This window comes from Homo sapiens, chromosome X (genome assembly GCF_000001405.40).
Source record: "Homo sapiens chromosome X, GRCh38.p14 Primary Assembly".
Taxonomy (NCBI): domain Eukaryota; kingdom Metazoa; phylum Chordata; class Mammalia; order Primates; family Hominidae; genus Homo; species Homo sapiens.
Genome location: NC_000023.11, coordinates 50791724 through 50815317, shown reverse-complemented (window position 1 = coordinate 50815317; position 23594 = coordinate 50791724). Strand labels below are relative to the sequence as shown.

At 43.3% G+C, this 23594-nt stretch overlaps 1 protein-coding gene across 14 annotated transcripts in view, besides 3 other annotated features; it reads left to right on the top strand.

Moving 5' to 3' along the window:
• Positions 1124–23594, top strand: part of SHROOM4 (shroom family member 4) — a 238661-nt gene continuing 216190 nt past the window's right edge. For all 14 annotated transcript variants that reach the window (XR_007068197.1, XR_007068196.1, XR_001755718.3 and 11 more), the window contains exon 1: positions 1124–1416. Coding sequence is in view for 7 of the 14 variants with exons in the window: in XM_047442279.1 (XP_047298235.1) it covers positions 1300–1416 (117 nt within the window). In the remaining 7 variants the exon portion in view is untranslated. The remainder of the gene's footprint in view (positions 1417–23594) is intronic.
• Positions 1576–2077: an enhancer, noted in NCBI's record as "H3K4me1 hESC enhancer chrX:50556241-50556742 (GRCh37/hg19 assembly coordinates)". NCBI's record gives its function as "activates a minimal SCP1, AML or CMV promoter by ChIP-STARR-seq in naive H9 embryonic stem cells {active_cell/tissue: H9 hESC(naive)}" and the evidence as "EXISTENCE:reporter gene assay evidence [ECO:0000049][PMID:30033119]".
• Positions 16275–16569: an enhancer, noted in NCBI's record as "tiled region #11230; HepG2 Activating DNase matched - State 9:DNaseU". NCBI's record gives its function as "activates a minimal TATA promoter and a strong SV40 promoter by Sharpr-MPRA in HepG2 cells {active_cell/tissue: HepG2}" and the evidence as "EXISTENCE:reporter gene assay evidence [ECO:0000049][PMID:27701403]".
• Positions 16275–16569: a silencer, noted in NCBI's record as "tiled region #11230; K562 Repressive non-DNase unmatched - State 24:Quies". NCBI's record gives its function as "represses a minimal TATA promoter and a strong SV40 promoter by Sharpr-MPRA in K562 cells {active_cell/tissue: K562}" and the evidence as "EXISTENCE:reporter gene assay evidence [ECO:0000049][PMID:27701403]".

The following is a 23594-nucleotide window of genomic DNA, read 5'->3' as shown; positions in this document are numbered from 1 at the left end:
AGGCGAGACAGAGTGGGAACATCCTGTTGAGTCACAACTGAGTTGTCAACACTTTCTCCGCTAGTGCGAGGCCCTTTAAAAATTCACTGCCCGCATGTGGCTCCAGAGAAAACACCTCAAAGAGAGAAGATAACCTGTCCAAGTGAAGGCAGAGAAATCAGCACAAGATTCAGTAACAAATTCGCTTTTCAGGACTATTATTGTGGCTGTTTGGTCTATTACAAAAGCCCAGCTCAGAAACTACAAGGTCAAGCTTGAACAGATGTGCAGAGATGTTCTGGACCCAGTCTAAAAGCTGATTCTTCCCAAAGGCACAACATTATTAATTGGCCAGCTTATCAATGGATGCTCTTTCCTGTAGGTTTGTTTAGAGACAATACTGCTAGTCATAAAGTTTGCTGATTGCTGGCTTGCTCATCTCGGTGGGGCAAGTGCAAGGCCGTGCCAGGAACTCCAGATGACTGGAACATACACAAGCACAGTGCTAGCCATAGACACCAACACTGAGCCAGGGTGCGGGGGAGCCCGAGCAGGGGGCATCCTCAAAGTGCTTCTTTATTTAAACTATGCTCTGGGGCAATGTTTCATAATGACCCCACACACCTAGCGCGTACACACAGAGCAGTCTACACACACAGCCTCACTATGTCCGCTGGCCTGCTGGCTTTGCTTTCCACCCCTCTAGGCAAGGTCCACAAATTAGCAGCCTTTTAACCCTCCCAGGTCTCCGTTCTCGGGACCTTCAGAAGAAAAAGGCAGTCAGAGAAACATGAACGCGCTAATCAGGAAACCAGCGTTTCAGCCCACTCAGCCACGCGGGCCGTCCACACTAACGACTTTCACCTCCCCTCGCCTGGGCTGGCTGGAGGGGCGGGGAACCCGGCAGTAAAGAGGAGGACCAAAGAGGGGCCCTGCTTGAATGAAACAATGTAACAATTGATGTGAGGCCTCGCCTCGCTCCCACTCCCCAGCGATCCTATAGGCGAGGTCCCAGTGACTGCCCCTCCCCATTGCTCCGTTTTCTTGTCCATTACGCGCTATCCCTCCGCCTCTCCTTCTTTCTTTTCTTTTCTTTTTTTCCCTTCTCCTTTTCCCCCCTCTCTCCCCCTTTCTCCAGCTCCGTGTCATTTCCTCCTTGCGCTCGCTCGCTGCCTGAGCGTCTCCAGCCGGGAGAGTAGGCGGAGCAGGGCGGTGCGGGGTGGCGTAGAGCTGGAGGGCGATGGTGGCGGAGCTGCTGGGGGCGGAGGCAACGTAGCCCCCTCGGAAAAGGAGCCCGGCGGCGCCTGAGCCCAGCCGAGGATGGAGAACCGGCCTGGGTCCTTCCAGTACGTCCCTGTGCAGCTGCAAGGGGGGGCACCCTGGGGCTTCACCCTTAAGGGGGGTCTGGAACACTGTGAGCCGCTCACAGTGTCTAAGGTAAGAACTGGCGGCTGATGTCCTAACGGCGCCTAACTTTGAATGGACAAGCGGGTGCGAAGGCTGCCGCTGGACGGGGCCCTCAGGCCAACTTTGAAACTTAGGGCTGGGAGCGAAAGACCCTCTGAGCGGCACGGAGGGGTCTTGCCACCAGTCCAGGTGCAGACATCCCCTAAGGGTGGCTGGAACACGAGCTGGGAGCACAACTGGCCCCCGGCTAGAACCTTGCGCGCAGACACACTCGCGAGGGCGCTGGGGCAGCCCTTGCTGCCCCACGTCGGGGCGGCTACTTCCCTCAGTTTGGGCCGAAGGAAGTGGAGGCTGTTGGGGATTTCTCCTTGGAGGCCTCTGCGTCCCTGCGGGACAGTGAAGGACTGAAGGGACAGTCATCGCGGCTTGGCAGCTCTCTTGGCAGCGTTGTCCCCTCTATCGACCGGCGGGCCGTCCCTCCCAGGCAGGTTGCAGGGCTAGGGGCTGGTGTGGGAACGGAGATGAGGCCATTGGTGGCTTTTGCCAGCCACACTTCCCACGGCCGGACGCGCACACATCCATTCAGCTCTTGGGGCGTTGTTGCCGCCGGTTCGGCTCGGCCTCTCCCTCCCTCCAGAGTCCTGCCCCAGCGCCGGCGAGATTTCCTGCACGTTGAGAAGTGTGGAGGAAACTTGCGCCATGGAGCGCAGCTGTGCTGGAGCTACTGCTGTTGCTGCTGCCGCTGCCGCCGCCGCCGCCGCCGCCGCCGCCACTGCCGCCGCCGCCGCCGCCGCCAGGGTTTGTTTGTTTTAGGAGTCTGTGATCTGCTGGAAGCCAAGTTGCAGCTGAGGACAGGAGAGAGGAGCTCTCCTGAGTGCTCCAGAACCCCCAAAGCGAGCCTCCCCCGTAGGGGTGAGGGCGAGGGGTAGGGGCAGCTGGAGCTGTTACCAGGAAGAGTGACTTGTGGGACGACTCACCTTGAGGTGCCAGATTGCCAAGTGAACGGACTTTACGAACTTTATTCCACTTTTTTGTTGTTTCTCTTAAATCCTCAAATCCGAAAAGCCCTCCCGCTTCCAACCCGCTTAAATGGCAGTTGAAGTTGTAGATGTGGGTTCAGGCTGGAGATAGAAAGATGTGTCTTTTCAGCAGGGAGCAAATATCACTTTTTTTTTGCGGGGGGGTGGGGTTCAACATTGGTCACATCTCAGCAGAGGGTTCAGCAAACGTCCACCGCAACACACACCCACAATAACCTGTGCGGCATTCGCCTTGCATTGGAGCCTGTGGTTGACTTCCAGTGTATGGGATCCTTCAGGCCTTGGGGCCCACACTCTTAGCAACCCTGGAGTGTTGCCATGGGTGTACCAATCAGATTGAGGAGTCTGAGGTATGCTGAGGCAACATTTTGAGGGGCTGGCAGGGACCCCTCTGATCATTAGCCTCCCCAAACTAGCCCAGATCTTCATCCAGCACCCTTTCCCCCATACTTGTCATGTACTTTAACCAGCCTGAGATGCGTTTGTCATCCACTGTCACAACCCCTCCTGAGGCAGTCTCCCTCCAGTGTTCTCTGGAGAAAGTTATATGCTTTTTTTTTTTTTTTTTTTTTTTAACAAAAACACTCAACTCCTTTGGTGAGGGGAATCCTGGCCTTCAGGAATTTCTTCTAATCAAGCTCCTCCTCTCCCCACTCTTTCCACCAAGGTCACAATGGGATATGCAGCCCTCCATGATCTGGCAGTTCCTCCCTTTCTTTTTCTCCTCACACCGCCCACAGAATTTCCACAGTCTGCCTAGACAACCTGCCTTGGAGAGGTCATTTTTCAGCTCTGCCCAGAGCTGACCCATCTTGAGAAGCACCCCAGAGAGTGCTTGCTGCTGTGGTCCCGGATTATTTTGTGAGCCAGTGAGAGCATGGCAGGGGGTGTTACTAAGTATGGGGCAGCCAGCAATTTGTGGTCTGGCTGGGGGATTATTTGAGAGGGTAGATGAGGGTTTCCTTGGCCAAGCTGTAGAGGAAGTGCTTCGTGTGTTGAGAGGCAGGGTGCCTTTTAATGATTCCCTTTCCACTGAATGTACAGTTGACCCCTATTATATGAAGGCTCATTATGACATGCATTTAGATATGCAAGGGATAAAATTATTTCTCCCATTCCTCCCAAATAGCCTAGTTCTTAACAGTAAAAGTCAGTTATAACTGGGTTGGCTTCAACGGTATATAAAGGGACCATAGTATTTTTTTAAGCACAATGATTGCCTGTATTGTGTTTTTCTTGACAAGACACTGTTTTGGCATATTTCATTAATTCCCTCTTCATTTTTCAACCTTGATTTTATTTCCTTTTATGATTCAGAACAATACAGCTTTCTCCTTGAAAACAGCCTTCTTAGTCTGTACACACTGGTTGGGATGGGTGGAAGGTAATAGAAAGATAATTGGGTTGGCAGATTAAAAACTTGGGTTCTAATCCTTTTTCTGCCACTCTCTAGTTCTGGAATCCTAGGTATATCACTTGCCCTACCTGGGTCTAGGCATCCCCATATCTAAAATGACATTCAAGTGGGTGGTCTTTAAATGATACTATGACAATCTAGTAGCCATGTTTTTGTTTGTTTGTTTTTGAGACAGGGTCTCACTCTGTTGCTCAGGCTGGAGTACAGTGGTGCCAGCTCGGCTCACTGCATCCTGTGCCTCCCAGGCTCAAGCAACCCTCCCACCTCAGCCTCCCAAGTAGCTGGGACTACAGGCACACGCTACCATGCTTGGCTGATTTTTTGTATTTTTGTATTTTTGTATTTCACCATGTTGCCCAAACTGGTCTCCAACTCCTTCAAACAATCTGCCTGCCTCAGCCTCCCAAAGTGCTGGGATTACAGGCGTGAGCCACCACTCCTGGCCAAATAGCTAATCTTTTATGCTAGCTCTGGCTCTCTTCTCAGAAGTGTTGCTGCAGAGTGAGGAAAATGAAGCTTTGCTTCATTTGCATACAGTGTTACTATTTACAATGTGCTTCCTCATCCTTTATTTCATTACTCTCTTGCAGCTACACTGTGAGGCAGTCAGGAAAGATTGTGGAGAAACTGATGGAAAACCCGAGACTGATGTATTCAGTGGCTTACCTATGTCTATCATACTGAGAGTCAATGGCAGTCCTACTAAGAGAGTTTCTGATTCTTCTGTTAGTACTGTGGTTTGTGAAGGAGCACAGGGCAATAACTTTCAGGGATGTATCTAGTCTTATTAGCCTCCTAATGCAGTGTCCCTTTCCATGCCAGCCTGTAATTCCATACTTGGTGACGGACTGGGTTGTAGGTACACTCTGATGGAGTCTGGGCTCAGAGTAGGAAAGGACTATTTTGATGACCCCAAATCACTTGTGATGATCTCAGGTCAGGGAGAGACAGAGGTAAGGTGCAGGAAGCATGGTGGAAAATGGCAGAGAACCTCCTTTGTGGAAAAAAAACCAGAAGCGGTTTGCATCAGGGATGGTGTGGCATACATGCTCAGAGATATCTTGTGGCACAAGTGGAGATATCTGGGGAGTGGGGGAATTTGAAAAAGTAGTGATTAGTGGGGGAAGAGGGTATGCAGTGTGAAAGTCTAGTTCATAGTTGTCATGGGAGACCCTTTGGACCAGGAAATGATCAAGTTGGGGAAATCATCAATTCCTGCTGGTTCCTATGATTTCCCTGAATATGGGGAATTCAACTGCCTGATTTATGGACACTTGTATAGTACCCCCCGACAGTCAAGTGGCAAAGAAAGAGAAAATTTTTTAATACTATTGCTGGATGCGGTGTCTTGCACCTGTAGTCCCAGCTACTCAGGAGGCTTAGGTAAGAGGAATCCCTAGAGCCCAGGAATTCCAGGCTGCAGTGTACCATGATTGGGCAACATAGTGTGACCCCACCTCCAAAAAATAAAATACGATTGATTATCCTAAATAATAAGGGATAGTTTATGATGTTTCCCTATATTGTGGTGTTTCGAGTGAGATCATGGTAACAAGTAAAAGATACATGACCCATAAAGGAATAGGGCCCATGACATTGGCATTATTGATTCCTTTGGTTAACATGTTACGCTACCTCATTGACTCAGAAGTACTGTCTGGATGGAATGGGGATTCTCTTCTAATCAGATGTGTCTGATGATATGTAGGCTCATGCTAACATATTTTCCCTTTTCTTGGCTCGTTTATGGTAGATGTTTCTATCTGGCATAGTGAAGCAAGTGGGGCTAGTTACTGCCCTGGAACAAAACAGAGTGGGGTAGGGGAGTAACCTGGAGGAGAAAGAAGCTTTACTCCCATCCACTTGATGTGCTCTGATATTGCTATATAATTTTACACTCTCCAGACCCAAGTCTCTATTTGCAGAGTGGGGCCTAGGCATAACTGCCCCATCTCTATTATCACAGATGATGAGACAATGAATTAGGCAAACTCTAATAGTGTTTGCCATCCTTAGCCTAGGACAGTGGCAGGGCATGCTCATCAAGTTGTTTTAGTCTGTATTCCATTCCTAGTCTGACCTTATTTCTAGAAGCACACAGAGAGGCAGTTGAGACTTCAAGAGGATCTGGATAAACTCAGATAGAGGTTGTCTTGTGGCTGGAAGTAAATTTGGCTGTGATTTTGAATTCTTATTGGGTGCAGAGGTGGTATTATGTGAACAATGAGAGTTCCTGTGAAATCTTTTGAGCTGTGTTACAGACCAGTGCCTGGCACTCACAAAGGGACCTTCGTGGGGTGTGCATCTTTGGAGCTTAGTCCAGCCTGGTTACCTACATGAATCCCCTCCTCATTTCTGCCTCTAGAATCACCAAAGATGTCCACTACCTCAGTTTCCCACCTGCTGCCCTATCCCAGAAAGTAGAGGGCATTTTGAGGCATGGATTAGAAATCCATCAGAGAGATACAAAGAAGGTTGGAGGGAGGTGGAGCAAGAAGGGTGGGTGGTATGGCTGGTAACCCTTGGCTGAGCTTTGAGTCGATACTACTTTTGGCCCTGCTGGGTTTTCATAATACACCTGGTACCCCATTGAGAGCCACATGTATGCTTGCTGAAGTTAAAAAAGGTCAAGCCTATTAGAGGATTTTCCCTCTCCAAAACTTCACACAAAGAAAATAATTCAACTCCATTGTCCCTTAAAAAAATTAAAATGATTTCCCCCCTTGCCTTCCCCAACCCCCTCCCCAGGAATTTCTTTAAAGAAAAAAGAGAGACTCAGACTTGAGATTGGAGGTTATGGATGATTATCTGGAGGGAACATCATGGCTTTTATAGTTAGACTTCTTTAGAACTAAGGGAAAAAAGATGCTGACCCATCTGAGAAAAGTTAATGAAGAACAGCAGGGATTATGGGAAGGGCTGCTCTCACTGCCTGCCCCTCTACCCCTCAAGCACCAAGGGGCAGACTTAACTCAGTGCTCCCAGAGTAATTCTGTTCTTGGTAGAGACCTAGAATCAAAGAATCTCAGAGTAAAGAGAGCCTTTTAGAAGTCACCTAGTCTAATCTTAACCATTTCATGAGCCTCCTGTGCAGTGTCCCTGAGCTTGTTCTACAGTAGTCACAGGGGAGCTCATTCCCTTCTAAGCCTATCCATTCTGTTGCTGGAAAGTTTTGACTGTGGACAGCTTTTCCTTTGTTAAGCTGCAATCGTTTTCCTTTTAGCGATCATCCATGGGTCCTAGCTGTATCCTCTGGATAGCATCACACAGAACAAGGGTGCTTCCTCTGTCTTGGGACAGCCCTTGGGATATCTGAAGGCAAATATTATATCATCTTGTTTCACTTTTCTAGCAGAGCCCTAGCTCTTTCAGCTGTTCCTTATGGGATGTAGATTCCAGCCTCTCCTCCTGTTTCCTCCTCCCACTCATGATGCACTTCAGCTTGTCCATGTTCCTCTTAAGTTATGGATCCCACAGCTGAATACTGTAACTGAGGAGAATCTGACCACAGTTGAGTATGAACATTCTTTAAAAAAATACAGCTGAAGATCACTTTGGCTCTTTCTGGCGGCCATGTCATACCAAGGCCCTGTGTCAAAATCTTTTAATGGAAGTAGCTGTGCTGCTATTAAGCCATACCTGCCTAAGGCCTCTATGAAGGCATCTGGGACAGCCACATAATAGATTTGGGAGGGACACATTTCATCTCCTACTATTTATTTAGAATTGCCTCTGCCCCTAGCCCTGGCCAGCCTTGGTAAATGCATCGTAGGGGAGATGAGAGAGAAGATATAAGCCCTGACTTCAAGGAACATGTATGTTTAAACAAAGAGATTATTAAGTTACAGAGAAGGAATTTGTATAATAGAAGAAGGAAATGGCATTTAATGAATAGTGTCAAAGTCAGAATTCCAGATCTTTTTTATTTCCTTTTTACCTCTCTGAACTTAATTTTTTCCCCTTCTGGAAAGAATAGTTGTCTCCAAGATTGAAGATGCTAACCATATGTGCCATACACTCTTCAATTTACAGAGCCCCTATGTAGGAATATAGAGACAGCAGTCTCTGTCCCTATCCACTGTCAGATATATATTTCCCTGCATACCTCCACTGACACTGATTGGAAAAGCCCCTGCTGTTGCTGCCATCCTTCAGCTCTGGGTTCTTCTGTCTGTACCTGGAATACACACAAGAGTGACTCCTGCTGGAGGTCTTGCATCCACAGCCTCTTTCTCCCCATCTCCCCACATTTACCAGTTGTCATCTGAGCTGGAAAAATATCTTTCGTTACTACTAAAGCCTCGATCAGGGAGTGGATTGGAGTGGGGCTTAATCTATATTATTACTGAAGGGTAAGGGGTCTGAGGAAGAGAGTGTAGAGGTCTAGGAAACGTGTCTTCACTGACACAATGTTATTTATAATGGTTACATTCAGAACAGTTCTGGAGAAGCCTATTTAATCCATAGTGTATCATTGATTAAATTACACAACCTAACCATCATTTATAATGTCCTATCTACAGGAAACAGAATTCAAAGCTCCAAGCTGCTTATTTATAGAAGATATTCTTGGGAAACAATGCATTCATAAGTTAGGAACAAAAAGTGCTCTAGATAGCTCTGTTACACAGTTCTGGGGGAGTTTGGGATTCTGCTACCATTAGTGCCCAAGGTGTTCATACCTTTGATGCTGGGACCAGATGTGTGTGCATGGTTACATTTCCCTCTGAAACGGAATTCCAGGTTTCCCTGAGAGTTATCTTGTAATCAGCAAGTAACGTTTTTATATTGGTTATGTCGGTATCAAGATCACTTTCACTCAGCTTCCATGGAGCCAAAATTTTGTCTCCTGGTGCTCCCTGAGATATACTCCCTTCACACATAATTCAATAAAATCATTAATGAATAAGTTGAGTTACTATTTTTTATGGCTAAAGATTGGGTTCCAAGGACTGGGAAGGGGTAGAGGTTTGTCTCCTTATACCTCTTTGCCCTATCCAGTGTAAATAGGCCAAGTGGAAAAATTGTCTTACGCATTAGTGTTGCAACGGATGATCCATTCTTCCTCACATCACACTGGCATGTTTGCTTGGTCAGATAGCCATCCTGGCCACGCACTGAAGTTGCAAAAGTCAAGATGACTTGATCTTTCAAAGTGAGCTCTAACCTCTCCCCTTTGACTTCACATCCACATCCTCCTCTTTCACTGTGAATCTATGACTGTACCATATCGCAACACAAGTACTGCCTAGTAGCAACAGAGACACATTTTCCATGCATCTAGGCTGTCCTTCTTTCATGTCAAGTCTTTAGTTCCCATCCCCCACCCAAGAGCACCAGTTGCTTGAGGCCTACATTTTGGACCGTCTCATTCAAGTGCCATTGCCCCTTTGTTCATTCATTGACTGCCCTGCCCTCTGTCCAAAACCCAACTTTTTTTTCTTTTTTGGTCACAGTGAGCCCTTCTAGTCTGCTGTACCAGCTTTGTCCCTCTTGGCTCAGCCATGCTTCCAGTGGTGGCGGGGAGGGGTGGTGGGTAGGGAGGAGGGAGAGAGAAGCTCACAGAGTTGAGGTTGATAGGTTTGAAAACAATCAGCAAATCATAACAGAATCAGAGGGAAATTTCCTCACACTGCATCTCTCTCTATCCTGTTTCAGTGATGGACAGAATCTCTGTTCTTATATTCTTTTATCAACTTGCTGAATAATCATGGCATGCTACTTTGGCTCTCCACACCCTCCTGTTTCTTCTCATACCCTCCATGGGACAAGTTCTTGCTTTACTGAAGGGTTGCTAAGGACCCTTACTTGGTCTAGGCTGTGGAAGTGTGAAGGCTGACTGACAGCAGGCAGCTCTTGGAGTGCATTGCTTTTCTCCACACTCCTACTTCCTATCTTTCTAGAAGTGGCTGTTTCCTGGTATGTTCTCAGGGAGGACATGGTCTGTTAACTTTCACTCAACTCTTTTAATGTTACATCTGTGAGGAATGCGGGAGGTGGGACTAATTTGACAGGATCAAGGGTTAAGCCCAGTTACGAACAGCCCCTTTGTGGTGTCTTCTGTCCCCCACCCTAATGCCACTCAACAGTTTCCTAGCTGTATGATCTTCTCTCTTTTTTCCTGAGCCTCTGGCAGGGAAGTTTTCAATGGTTCTCCTATACTGCCTTTCACGGTCCATAAGAAACTGATTTTTCGTTTCGGGGAGGGGGTTGGAGGTGAGATGAGGTAGAGCTAGAAGTAAAGCTGGTTTGACTAGTTATTCTGGAAAGGAGTTAGAGTCTTATGGCTGTAGCCCCATCTTTACTTATGAGAGGATGACAAGCTAAAGCCTTGTCTTTGTTGGGCTGCCTTGCTGTTTTCCATTTCTTTTTGTTTGTGTTTGATATAAGTAAAAGCCACCCTGAAAAATTCTACAGGTAGGCAGCTTTGGATGGCATCTTACTCTGACTGAGAGTGTGAGTGATGACATCTTGAAGCTTCAGGGGGTAAGTATCAGGCTTGACTCTCACATTCTGTAGAGGATTTGACAAGAGTTTGGAGCTCTGTATTAACTTAAATTGGCGATCAGGAAGGATCAAGACAACAAGCAAAAGTAGACCAGGCAAGGATTTGGATACTTCAGTTGTGTGGCTGTGCCTCATTGAGTTCAGTAACCTCTTGAACCCAAAGGTGGTCAAAGCCTAGACATGGTGGGATCGGAGAGGTAGTGGACCGCTGTATAGCAAATACTGCTATTTTCTAGGTGTTTTACATGTATTTTCATTTAACTTTTACAGTAACTCTTTGAGGCCAGATATTAATGTCTCCATTGTGCAGATGAAGAACCGAGACTCAGGAGAAGTTAAGTGAAAGACTCTAAGTCATATAGTAAGTGGGACAACTGACATTCAAATTTACTTCTGTCCAACTTCAAATCCCATGCTCTTTCTAAAATAGTGTGTTTACACAGGTGAAAGACAGAGAAATAGAAGAGAACTAGATAAGAATGAGAGGTTGGGGGACAGACGGAGGGAGGGAAATGAGGGAAATGAAATTTGATGCAGAAACTGATAATATTATGAGTATCTATTCCTCAGAGGTCAGGGTCAAAGGAAGGTCTTTGTTTTGTTTTAAATCTCAAATCAAGGTAAGGGGACTGGGTCGGTATTCAGAAAGCCTAAAGTTTAGTCCCAACTCTGCCACTCTTCATTTGTGTGACCCTGGGAAGTCATTTTCATCTCTCTATCTCAATTGCCCTATTTGCAAAATGAGAGTAATACAACCTGCGCTGTTGTCCAGTAGGGAGAGAGATTCATTTTATCATTTATTTCATATTATTATTAGCAGTATATGTGATGTAAGAAAGCAAGCAAGCGCATTCCACAGGTGTCCCTTATTAAACAGGAATTCTCTTAAGAAAATTTTGAGCCTAAAAATTGAAGTGTATGAAGTTACCTAATCATTGGGAATTATGTGAAATGGCAGGGCAGCTTTCGTGTAATGTCTGCTACTGCAAAAAGTTGGAAGACCAGCCATGATTTCTGCTAATGTCTGAACAGCCAGCACTTTGAAAGGCTAACATCTTAAGAGCTCTCAGTTAGGCCTCCAATCAATCAATCAATCAATCAATCAACTGATCAACTAACCAACCAACCAGTCAACACAGATTTGTTGAGCACTTTGTAAAGTGCCTAACCCTAAACTAGAGAATACAAGAGTTAGCCACCATAGAAGACCTGGTTTCTGGATTCTCAAAAGAGATGACAGTTTTGTTGAAGAGCTGCATTACTATAAGCCCAGGAAACAAAAAGCTTTAAGTACTGAAACTGTGGGGTAGGATCTAAGAGCAACATTTATTCAGTGGGAAGAGATTTCATTGTGGGCTGATGTAGCTGGGTGTTTTGTGAAAAAAGGAAGAATTGGAGCTAGGCCTTGAGGGATAATACAGGATTTAGGTAGGTAGGCCTGGGAGGAAGAAGGACGTTGATTCCAGTTACTACAAGCACTGCATGTCCTAAAGACACAGACAGAAGACTGAGACCAGTTTGTTCACTCCACAGTGTGTTGACTAACAGCATAAGGGCAGAGCATGTAGTGTTTGTTCATTTATCCACTTATTAATTCATTCATTAAATTTTATTGAGTGCCTGTTCTAGGAGCTGAGCTATTCTTCCTATGGCCAATGAAACCAGCACAGAGCTCCATAGATGTCACTTTTATTTGTTTTCTAACAAATACTTTATAGTGCATATTCTGGGCACTAGTTTTCTAACTTAACACATATTAGCTCTTTTATTTTATTTTTTGAGACGGAGTCTCTCTCTGTTGCCAGGCTGGAGTGCAGTGGCGTGATCTCGGCTCACTGCAACCTCCGCCTCCCGGGTTCAAGCGATTCTCCTACCTCAGCCTCCCGAGTAGCTGGGACTACAGGCGTGTGCCACCACACCTGGCTAATTTTTGTATTTTTAGTAGAGATGGGGTTTCACCATGTTAGCTAATTTATTAACTCCATTTTACACATGAGGAAATTGAAGAAAGATTAGGTGACTTGCCCAATGTCATATTGCTTGTGTGGATGGCTACATAAGTGAGTCAGTGGAGATCTTCTTGATTCTTGCAGACTAGTGGGATATAAAGGTGAATGGATTTGAGCCAGGTATTCTGGATACCCCAGAAAACTGGGCTATAGAATGGATGCAAGTTGGAAGTAGGTAGCCATTTTGTGGTTTGGATAATCAGTGTATTAAGAATAAGGCACCTAGTCTATGGTCATACCACCCTGAACCTGTCCGATCTCATCTGATCTCAAGAATAAAGCACCTAGCACAGTACCAGTCACATAATTGCTTCCATGAGGAAAGACCTGAACTGAACAATAGATAGGTAAGGTCATTTTGAAGGAATCAGCCCATCTTGGCAATTTGCTGACTTGTCATACATTAGTGAGTTGCCAGAAGTTAGTGATAATGCATACCATTGAAGAAATGAAGAAGAGGTAGGAGTCAGGGATTAATCTAATATGTAAAATCTAGAAGGCTCTGAGAGATTATGGGAATTGGGAAGACCAACCAGGTTTAGTTCAGTTTTGGATCTTCTGAGACTGAAGTGTCTGTAGGCCAATCAAAAAGTCCCTAGGCAGTTGGGGAGCATGTTTATTTAAAGCCACTGATCAGTTAAAACAACAAAGCATTATTTTAGGAACATAATGATCAACACAGACAATTTACTAATCTACTGGTTGTTGTGGAAACGAGTTAATTGCCAGACAATCTTATGCCCCAAAGATAGTAGAACAGACCTGCATTGTTATTTAATGGGCTTTCCTGGCCATAGCTTTGTCTTGCTATCTCCTCCAATCTGTGGGATGCTTTGTCAACTGAGGTGTTACTGGCTAAAGTTCATTTTGTATAACTTAGAACTTGAAGTGATAGGAATCACTTCTTGGAATGCCTTTCCGTTGCCACTTTTGTGCAACATCACCCGATTTTCTACATGGTGAAGAACTGAAAATCCGAATGTTGTAAAGATGCTTATGCCATGCAACCTGGTCTAAATTAACTCCTTCCCTACCTTCTTGTAGACTAAAGTCACTTCTTGCTAAAAGGCTAATGACCACATGGGTTCCTTTACCTAGCTCCTCTCTCTAACAACATGAAATAGCTTGTAATTTATATTTGAAATTGATTTGAATCTGTAGCTGCTGGGGAGATTTTTGTGTAAAAGATTGCCCAAGTGCTCTGATTTTTACAAGCGCCTGCTTGCTAACTTCCCTCTGTTGCGTGAGCCCTGGTGGGAGGCTGATACTCTCCTTTTCTGGAGGTAAGGGGCTCAAGATGTAATTTGCGTGTTTTTCCCATGCCTTTGGCTGAAGAAAAGTGCAGTGTTCTGAAACCTGCCCAGACCTTGCACATACTGTATCTGCTTAAAGAGGGTTTTGGCTCTTAGCCCTTCTCAGCTGCATTAGGGTTCAGGTTACATCCCTCTCCCCATCTAGCCACTAATAAAAGCCAAAATAATTAAGGATCAGGGAGAGTTAATTCCCACTGCTAAGACCCAGGTGGGGCCCTTCCATCTCCCATCCCCTAGCTTGGAGCCCTAATTTAAGGCTGAACTTTAGTCTAAGTCTATAAGTGACAGTGATCTGGAACAGGCCCCAGAAAAGCACTTGACAATCAGGTTTTGCCCCATGCTGGCAGTACGTGTTCTCTCTCTCTCTCTCTCTCTCTCTCTCTCCTCTTTCTCTCTCTCTCCTTCCCTCCCTCCTTCTCCCTCTCCCCTTCCCTCCTTTCCCTACCACGTTGGCATCTTAGAGGAGACCAGTGACCCCAGGGATCAAGCCAACTGATTCTGTTGCAGCAATGGAAATAATGTATCATACTTCCCTTTCATCTAAACTGGGAGATTCAGATGAAGCTTCTGTTTTTTTTCAAGCCCTTGACCCAACTTCAGTACAACATTAGGAGCCTCATTCAGAATAAGAAACATCATTGATATATCTCTCAACTCAAAAGAGTTGCATAGTAATGAGCTCTTAGTGAGCTCAGATGGGAAAGGGCAGCTTTGAAGGAGGATCTTGCAAGAGCTGGGACAGGCAGGAAGAAGCCTCATTCTGGAACAACTACACTACTGTAGTGGCCTCCTCAATGGTTTCTTTCCCTTTGATCATCCCCTCCTCCCTCCCTTAAAATTATTTAATGGTTCCCTGCTGCCTGTAGAATAGAGCCCAAACTACTTTTGCCTGGTATTACAGACCATTCTCCATCTGGCTCCAGTCTTAGCAATCCTTCCAGGCCCCAGGTTTTCAGGCAGAACGGTTACCTCTCTGTTCCCCAAACCCACCTGGGAAATTCTGGCCTCCGATTTTCTCACCATGATGTTCTTTCCAGTGGCTAGACTTCACACTGCATCCTTGGAAGGACTTCTCACTTCTCTGGCCCTCTCCATAGGACCTAACCTTCAAGCCCTACCTCTAAGCCTCTAGGGCATCATCTTTGATTGCTCCTGGTGGAAGCAATCAGAACCTCCCCTCTGAAATGCCGGAGTTCTGATTTTCCAGTAGCTGTCTTTGGGTACTTTGGCTGTCTTGTGTTTGGTTTGCTGGATCAAGATCTTCTAGACGACAATGGCTGTATCTTCTATATATTTTCCATAGTCAGCACAGAGTAGACTCTCCATCATGGTTTGCTGGTTTAGATAATATGTAAGAAGAGTCAAGCAAAAATTTTTTACTCCGTGATTGGTAATCTTTCCCCTTTCCACTTCCAAGCCTAAATTAGAGAATATGACTAGATGATCTGGATATACTGGCCAAGTTTCCCAAACTTTGTGTGACACCCCACCTAAGTGGGGTGAGCCTTGAATGACACACACATGGGAACTAGAGGCAGAGGGAACACTTAGAAGAAAATAATGTTGGGGACAGAAGTTGAGAAGGATCCCAGAGGCAACCCAGGATGAGAAGGAGCAGTAGAGGATGGGGTTGGCTACCTGCTTGTCCCCAGGCTGCCTGAAGTTTGGTTTATAACAGTTGAATTTCATGCTGCTGCTGGAGTTCCTGTGTGTAAGCTGTGTTCCGAGGTTTGCATGTGGGAGAGGCCGGCTGGCTGATGATTGCAGCATTTCCTATGGTGTTGGGACGCGTTGCTGTGAGACTCTTAAAACAACAGCCATCCCACTTGTTGCTATGTGTTTAAGGTGGGTGTAGTGTGTGTCTTCAGTGAAACTCAAGTGTTTCACTGCTTTAGCTGAGAGGCAGTAGCTTTGGGTGAACACACTCTGTGTGTGTATGTGTGAATGTATATGCATGTGTTTTCACTTTTTCTTAAGCAAGCTCTGACATGTTGTGTCTGACTGGCCTTGGATGTGAGTCACTGTCTGGTATTTATACCCAGTGTCTTAAGTGTCCTTATTATTTGACCATGATATTGCTATTCTCCCTATTTTACTCAAAGCTGAGAATGCTGAGAAGGGCCAAAGGGAACTCACTCTGTCTTCCTTCCAAATGGGGTCTAATCTCATTGGTGGTTAACTGTCTCTGTGGCAGTCAATTAGGTTATGTAAGGGCACTAAAGGGAACAGGTTGAAATTCACAGTAGTAGTACTGTGACAGTTTAAAAGACACACTATAGGGCTTCTCTTAGTTTGTTCCTGTCCAGGATACTGTTGGAGAGTTCACCCACTGGAATGACTTTAGGAACAGGCCTCGAAAGGGCCTTAGCACAATCACAATAAGTATGAAAGGAGTACAAACAAACTGAGAAAGCCTTAGAGAGGAGATGATCCAGCCTTTGCAGGCATTGGTGAGAGAAGCAGAGAATGTTAGCTTCCTCCTTACTGTTGTTTGTATTAAGTCCTTCCAAGATTGAAAATTTTGTCTTAGAAGCAGGCTCATAGAGTGTGGGAATGGTAAACCCCATCAGAGGCACTGTTGTTATCAAAGGGACAGAGCCTCAGATAGGAAGGACATGGCTGCTAGCATGGTCATTTGGAGGCCAGGCAGCCAGTAAATCATTTGAGAATGAGTTAAAGGTTCAAAGGGCAGGAGGGAATTCTTTGGGTGACCTCATAGGTGCTTGAAAAATCAAAGGGATAGCTCGTGTGCTTTTATGTTTTCAGGCCTGGTTCGGAGGGTCAAGGGAATGGAAATGCACAGTAGAAAATTGGCATTGCTGTTTTTATGTGCTTGGGAACCCTAACTCCGGGCTGGTGATCGTCAGAGTTACCATTAATTAGATGCATATTTTGTTCTGGGAATTTTATATGCATACTCTCTAATCTTCTCATCTCTACTTACTGTAAATTAAGTAGTAGTATTCCTATTTTACAGATGAAAATAATGAGGTTCAGAGGGGCAAAGTAATGTTCTCCAAGTAACCAAGCCAGTAAGTGGTAGAGCTGTGATTTGAACTCAACTCTACCTGACCCCAAATCCTATGCTTGTCCTACTATACCTTAAAATTTTACTTCAGCCCCAAAGCCCCTTTCTGTGTTTCATATTGTCTTTTTAATACCACTGTTAACTATGATGACTATATTCTGTGTTTCATAGCATTGGAAAACGTGGGTTTCACAGATCAGTCAGTTTACAACTTTGCTGGGAAGCTTGTTAAAAAACACAGATTAGACTCTGAGGATGAAATAATATAATGCACGAAGAGGTACTTAGTAGTGTCCCTATTCCAAGATGCAGAAATTGAGGCTAAGAGGGAAGTAACTTTCCAGAATTCATTGGACCAGTAACTGGCAGGGCTGGTATTCAAAATCCAGTTTATCTGATTTTAGAGTGCCTGTTCTTTCCCATGCTCTTGTTGCCTCCCAAACTAGAAGGGGAGTAAGCAATAAACAAAAAACCAGACTTGACCCTCTCGGCCCCTACAAACCTACCCTTCTTACTGCCCTCTCTGTCAATAAATTTTTTTTAAGTGAGGGGTGGCCTCCCTCTCTCCCTCTCCCCTCCTTCCTTCTCTTCTAGCACAATTTATTTATTTAAATGTTTATTTTGGGGATAGATGATAAATGTTCATGGAACAAAATTTTTAAAACTATATAAATGGGTACATCTTTCTTCATTCATGTCCCTAAACCACCTAATTTCCCTTCCCAGTGGCAATCACTGTTACCAATTCCTTGTGTACTCTTCCAAAGACACCCTTCCAAAGATACATTATATGTAGGCATGTTGTATATGCTCATATACGTGCATGCTCAGTGTCTCTGTTTCCTCACTGCCTGTCTTCCTGAATCCTCTCCAATCTGGCTTCCAATGAGGTCTTCCTGAGGGCCAAATATACTGGCCTTCTCACTGTTTTCATCATCCTTGTTTTCTCTATACAATTATTGTTTTTCAATAATTTGTTGAATAGGTAATGTAGTTATGTGGTTTAAAAGGTAGTTAGTATGAAAAGGCGGAGAATAGTTTCCCAGTCATCCTTGTCTCTCATCTGTCCAGTTTCACCACTACCTCCCACTGTGCTTAGATATTTCTGTGTGTCTTTTCAGAGCCTCTCTATACATACACAAGCAAATGTCAATATAGATTCTTTATTTTGCCTTTTATACAAAAGGTAGCATACTAAAACAATCTTTTGCACTTCGCTTTTTTCACTTACATATCCTAGAGATCTTTCCCTATCAAGCATACAGAAGGTTATCTCTATTTTTTAACAGCCACATTGTATTTAATTATTTAAACAGTTCTTAGTATTGCTAGTCATTGGCATTGTTTCCAAACCATTCAGACTCGACCTTCTCCAAACTCTGCTGCCAGTATAGCTCCTGTAATACTGAACTCTCCTGTTTCTGCATCTTCTCTTGCTGTTTCTCCATTCTCCTCTGTAAATCGACTGCCTCTCTTATCTCTATCCTGTGGATATTCCTCAAGGCTCAGCACTCAGTCCCTCCCCCCGCACTCTTTTCTCTGTTTCTTCTTTCCCTATTCTCCCTCCCCCCATCCTTTCCCCCTCTCCTCTTTTCCTCAAGAAAGCAACGATGAGATCTCATAACTCCTGAATCTCTAGTCTTAATCTTTTCCACTGTCTGATAGTATTCACTGGAATATTTCTTTTTTACCTCATACCCCAGTATGTCTAAAATGGAACTTATCTTCCCCTTGTAAAATGGGCTCTTTCCTTGGCTTCCCCACTCAGCTAGCATTAAAATCATGGAGTCATTGCTTACTCATCCCATATCCCACATTCTGTCAGTCTTGCTTCCTTTACAATAGCCCTCATATCCACCTGCTTCTTTTCAATTCCTGCTACTCCTACCCTCTTCCAAGCTCTTATTACTTTATGTCTGGTTTCTGGATTCCTGGCTGGCTTCCCTGCTTCTAAGATCACTCCTGTTAAATTTATCTTATAAGACACTTCTTCTATCCAAGAATTTTAGTTTCCCTTTCTATACAATGAGGAAGCTGGACTGACTGGTTCATCTCAGAGGTGGGTTAAAATCCTAGCCCTACCATTCCTTCCACCTCCGACATTCTAGACCAGAACTCCATCCTTTCCACCTCTAACATTCTAGACCAGAAATCTTCCCAGTGTCTCCCCACCTCCCACCATTTCCACTCTCTGTACTGTTCTCTTTCACTTGAATTGTTGCTATGGCTCCATGCTCCCAGCAGTGCCTTGAAAAAATCTTTCTTCCATATTGGTCCTAGAGTCTTTATCCTAAATTAACTTACAGTTGAAAGGAATCTTAGAGGCAGGCCATCCAAGCTGACCAACACTAACCTGCTGCCTGAGTGCCATTAATAACACCCTTGAATTTGGTTGGTCAGACTGTTCTTTTGAATGCTTCCATTGATGGAGAACATTATCTCATAAGCCAGCCCTTTGTATTGTCAGATAGCAAGAGTTGTTCTATATCTCCTACCACAAACTGACACCAACTGATCTGCCTTTATGATACTCTATTATTAAAAACTTGCTTCATCTTGATTTAAGTTCAAACCCCTCAGGTCTGGCATCCGAAGTTCTCCAGAAATATGGCTCCTATCTTCCCCTGTAGGCTGAAATCATGGATACTTCCTTTGCACTTCATCCACATTTTAAAAAATAGCTAATATTTATTCAGCACTTATTGGATGCCACTGTTCTAAGTGATTTTACATGTATTATTTAATCCACATGGCAACTATATATGTTTCTATTATTCTTCCCCATTTTATAGAGAAAGAAAATGAGGCATATGGAAATCCAAATGGTTTACCCAGAGTCTCACAGTTAGTAAATGGTAGAGCTAGGATTTTAACCCAGAAAGGCTATCTCCAGAGCACATACCCATAATCACTGCCATACACAGTCAGCCTCAAATGTGACAATAATTTTCTGAATATGCCCAGTGACTTGTTATCATGGTTTCTTAAAATGCATTTCTAGTCCCAGCTACCTGACTAAATCTTACCTGTTCCTTGAAGCCCATCAGAAATTACCCTTCCTTCTGGTCCCATTCTACCCCATCTTCCATCTGGTGCTCACCATGTTCTTTCTAATGAGCTGGGCATGCTTGTTTTATATACTTCATGGGATATGCTCCTTGAGGGCAGGGCCCACAGACATAAACTGCTGGATTAGGCTTTTAACCCCAAATCTGTTCCATAGAGCATTTAACAAGTAGAGCTAGGCTTTAGGAACTTCTGAAAGACTTGAGATTTCTTCTTTTTGAGTTTGTATGAATCTCCTCTTTCTAAATCTGGCTCTAAATTCTTTCTTTCTTAGGCTATTAATTCATTTCTGTTTATTGCCCAATAGTTTTGCACATTTGTTCCCAGGTACTCTCAGGGCCAGAAAACAAGTGTTGTTATCCATGGTTTTATATATATATATATCATATATATATATATATATATCATATATATATATATATATCATATATATATATCATATATATATATCATATATATATATCATATATATATATCATATATATATATCATATATATATCATATATATATGAGATATATATGATATATATAAAGATATATATAAAGATGTTGTTATCCAACATATATCATGTATGAGATATATATATATGCACACACCTATATTTATATATATTTATAGACACATACACATATATATATATATATATACACATTTATACACATATTCATACATATATATACTGGGAGCCAAATGAGGAACAATATTAAAAAGAAATTTCATTACATCCCTTATCTGTGATCTGACTTCCTTAATATTTATAACTTCTGATCTCCTCTCTTCCTTGTCCTTAACATGTATTACTATGCTAGGTAGATAAATAGGTAGGTAGGTACCTCACCACACAATCTAGAGATTGTGAATCTAGAGACTGTGAATTTTAGTGTGTGTGTGTGTGTGTGTGTATGTGTGTGTGTTTGTGTGTGTCAGAGAGAGAATGATGGAGGGTGGTTGGGTAGTTGGAGGGACAGTTTTTTGAGTGCAAAGCTTCCTTGTCTTCTGTGCTAAGAAAGTCTCTTTAAAATGCTGCGTCCTGCAGAACATCCCTCCCCCAACCTCCTCCTTCTCTTCTATTTCTTCTCTTAATTTCATAGTGATTGTAGTTTCCCATGTGTATTTTGTAAATGAGTTCTGTCTAAAATTTGCCAAGCTCTCTGTTCGAGTGAGATATGCTCATCTAGCATGTTAGACAACAACATGATTTACTACCCAGACAGGCTAATTCAGCGGGTAACACATCATTCTCTGAAGGATCACGGTACTGTTAATTCAATGTGTACCAATTTAATTATATTTCAGAAGTTAAAAAAAGTTAAATAGCTCCAGTTGCAGTGTTCTAGTTCACTAAGCATTGACTATAAATCATTAGTGGTTACTTTACAAATTTATGTTGATGCACTGGCTGGTATTTTACATAAGTATAAGCCACCTACCTCAGGGTGTCTAACTTGGTTTTGTAAAGTACAAAATGTGCTCTTGATTTCTCTCTCTGGCCCCATAATATCTTCATCAACCCCCACCCCAACCCATACAACTTTCACAGGGCCCCTTTTTTTCTCCCTTCACATATTTCATCAGACTCTTTAAGGAAGTCATAGACTGGTTGTGATTATTACTGAACCATATGGGAACCACACATCTTTTTTTTTCCTTCTACTTTCTTGTATAATGGTTATGACTTCTTAAATGAATTAAAAAGCCCCAAGATTAGTTTTTAACTATTGAAAGACTTAAGGCCAGGTAGCCCTGCTTTAATTTCATCATTCAAAAAAGCCAAAGTTAGTAACCCCTCTTTTTTCTTTTCTTTTAGATATCACCTGAAATCTGTTCTCCAGAAGGGTGATACTAGTTACTGCAATATACATTAGCGTGCAGCATTCATGACCCTTTATTGTTTTTACTAAAATCTTCAGGATTAGAAGGGTCTGGGAGTCATTAGATAGTCTCCTCTTCCAAAATGGGTTGTGCCTACTAGATAAAATTTGACTAAAAAGCAATGATACTGATTTTTTTCTCCAGTCTTTACTTTTGTATTTTCGATGTCAGAAAGTATATTCATATGTCTTGTTAAAATTTTACATTCATCTAACTTACTTTTTATTGTAGTGAGAACATTTAACATGAGAGCTACAATTTTAACAGGATTTTAAGTTCACAATACCACACTGTTAACCATAGGCACAATGTTGTACAGCAGATTTGTAGAACATCTTCATCTTGTATTACTGAAACTTTATACCCCTTGAATAGCAACTCCCCATTTCCCTCTCCCCCTGGCTCCTGGCAACCAACATTCTACTCTCTGCTTCTGAGTTTGGCTATTTTAGGTACGTCATATAAGCAAAATTATGCAATATTTGTCCTTCTGTGACCAGCTTATTTCATTTAGCATAATGTCCTCCAGACTTATCTATGTTGTTGCATATTGGAAGATTTCCTCTGGAATGATATTTCATTGTGTCTTATGCCACATTTTCTTTATTCTTTCATCCATGGACATTTAGGTTGATTCTACATCTTGGTTATTATAAACAATGCTCCAATGAACATGGGGTTTTAAATATGTTTTCAAGATCCTGATTTCTTTTAGATGAATACCCAGAAATGGGAATGCTGGATCTAGTATGTAGTTCTAGTATTAATTTTTTGAGGAACCTCCATACTGTTTTCCATAGCAGTGGCACCATTTTACATTCCTACCCATGGTGTACAAGTGTTCCAGTTTCTCCGTATCCAACACTTATCTTTTCTCAAAAAAAATGGCCATCCTAATAGGTGTCAGGTGATATCTCATTGTGGTTTTGACTTGCATTTCCTTAATGATTAGTGATGTTGAGCATCTTTTCATGGTCCTGTTGGCTGTTTATGTGTCTTATTTGGAGAAATGTTTACTCAAGTCCTTTGCCCATTTTTAACTGGATTTTGTTATTATGCTGTTGAGTTGTATAAGTTCCTTATATGTTTTGGATATTAACCCTTTATCAGATAAATGCTTTGCAAATATTTTCTTCCATTCCATAGGCTGCCTTTTCTTTTTTTTTTTTCCTGAGAGAGAGTCTTGCTCTGTCACCCAGACTGGAGTGCAGTGGCATGATCTCAGCTCACTGTAACCTCTGCTGCCCGGGTTCAAGCGATTCTCCTGCCTCAGCCTCCCAAATAGCTGGGATTACAGGTGTTCACCACCACACTTGGCTAATTTTCTTTTTTTGTATTTTTAGTAGAGATGGGGTTTCACCATGTTGGCCAGACTGGTCTCGAACTCCTGACCTCGGGTGATCCACCAGCCTCGGCCTCCCAAAGTGCTGGAATTACAGGCGTGAGCCACCATGCCCAGCCTACCTTTTCACTGTGTTAAAAGATTCGTTAGTTGTGCAGAAGCCTTTTAGTTTGATGTTGTCCCACTTGTTTATTTTTGCTTTTGTTGCCTGTGCTTTTAGTATCATATTCAAGAACCCATGGCCAAGACTAATGTCAAGAGCCTTTTCCCTCACATTTTCTTCTACAAGTTTTGCAGTTTCAGGTCTTATGTGTATGCATATGGTGTAAGAAAGTGGTTTGATATCCAGTTTTCCCATACCATTCATTGAAGAGACTATACTTTCCCCATTTTGTAGTCTTGATACCCTTCTCAAAGATCACTTGGTCGTATATGGGTGGGTTTATTTTGGGGCTGTCTCTTCTGTGCCCTTGCTCTATATGTACATACTGTTGATTACTATAACTTTGCAATATCAATTGAAATCAGGGAATCCAGCTTTTTCTTTTATAAGATTGTTTTGGCTATTTGAAGTTCTTTGCAATTCCCTCTGAATTGTAGAGATTTTTTTTT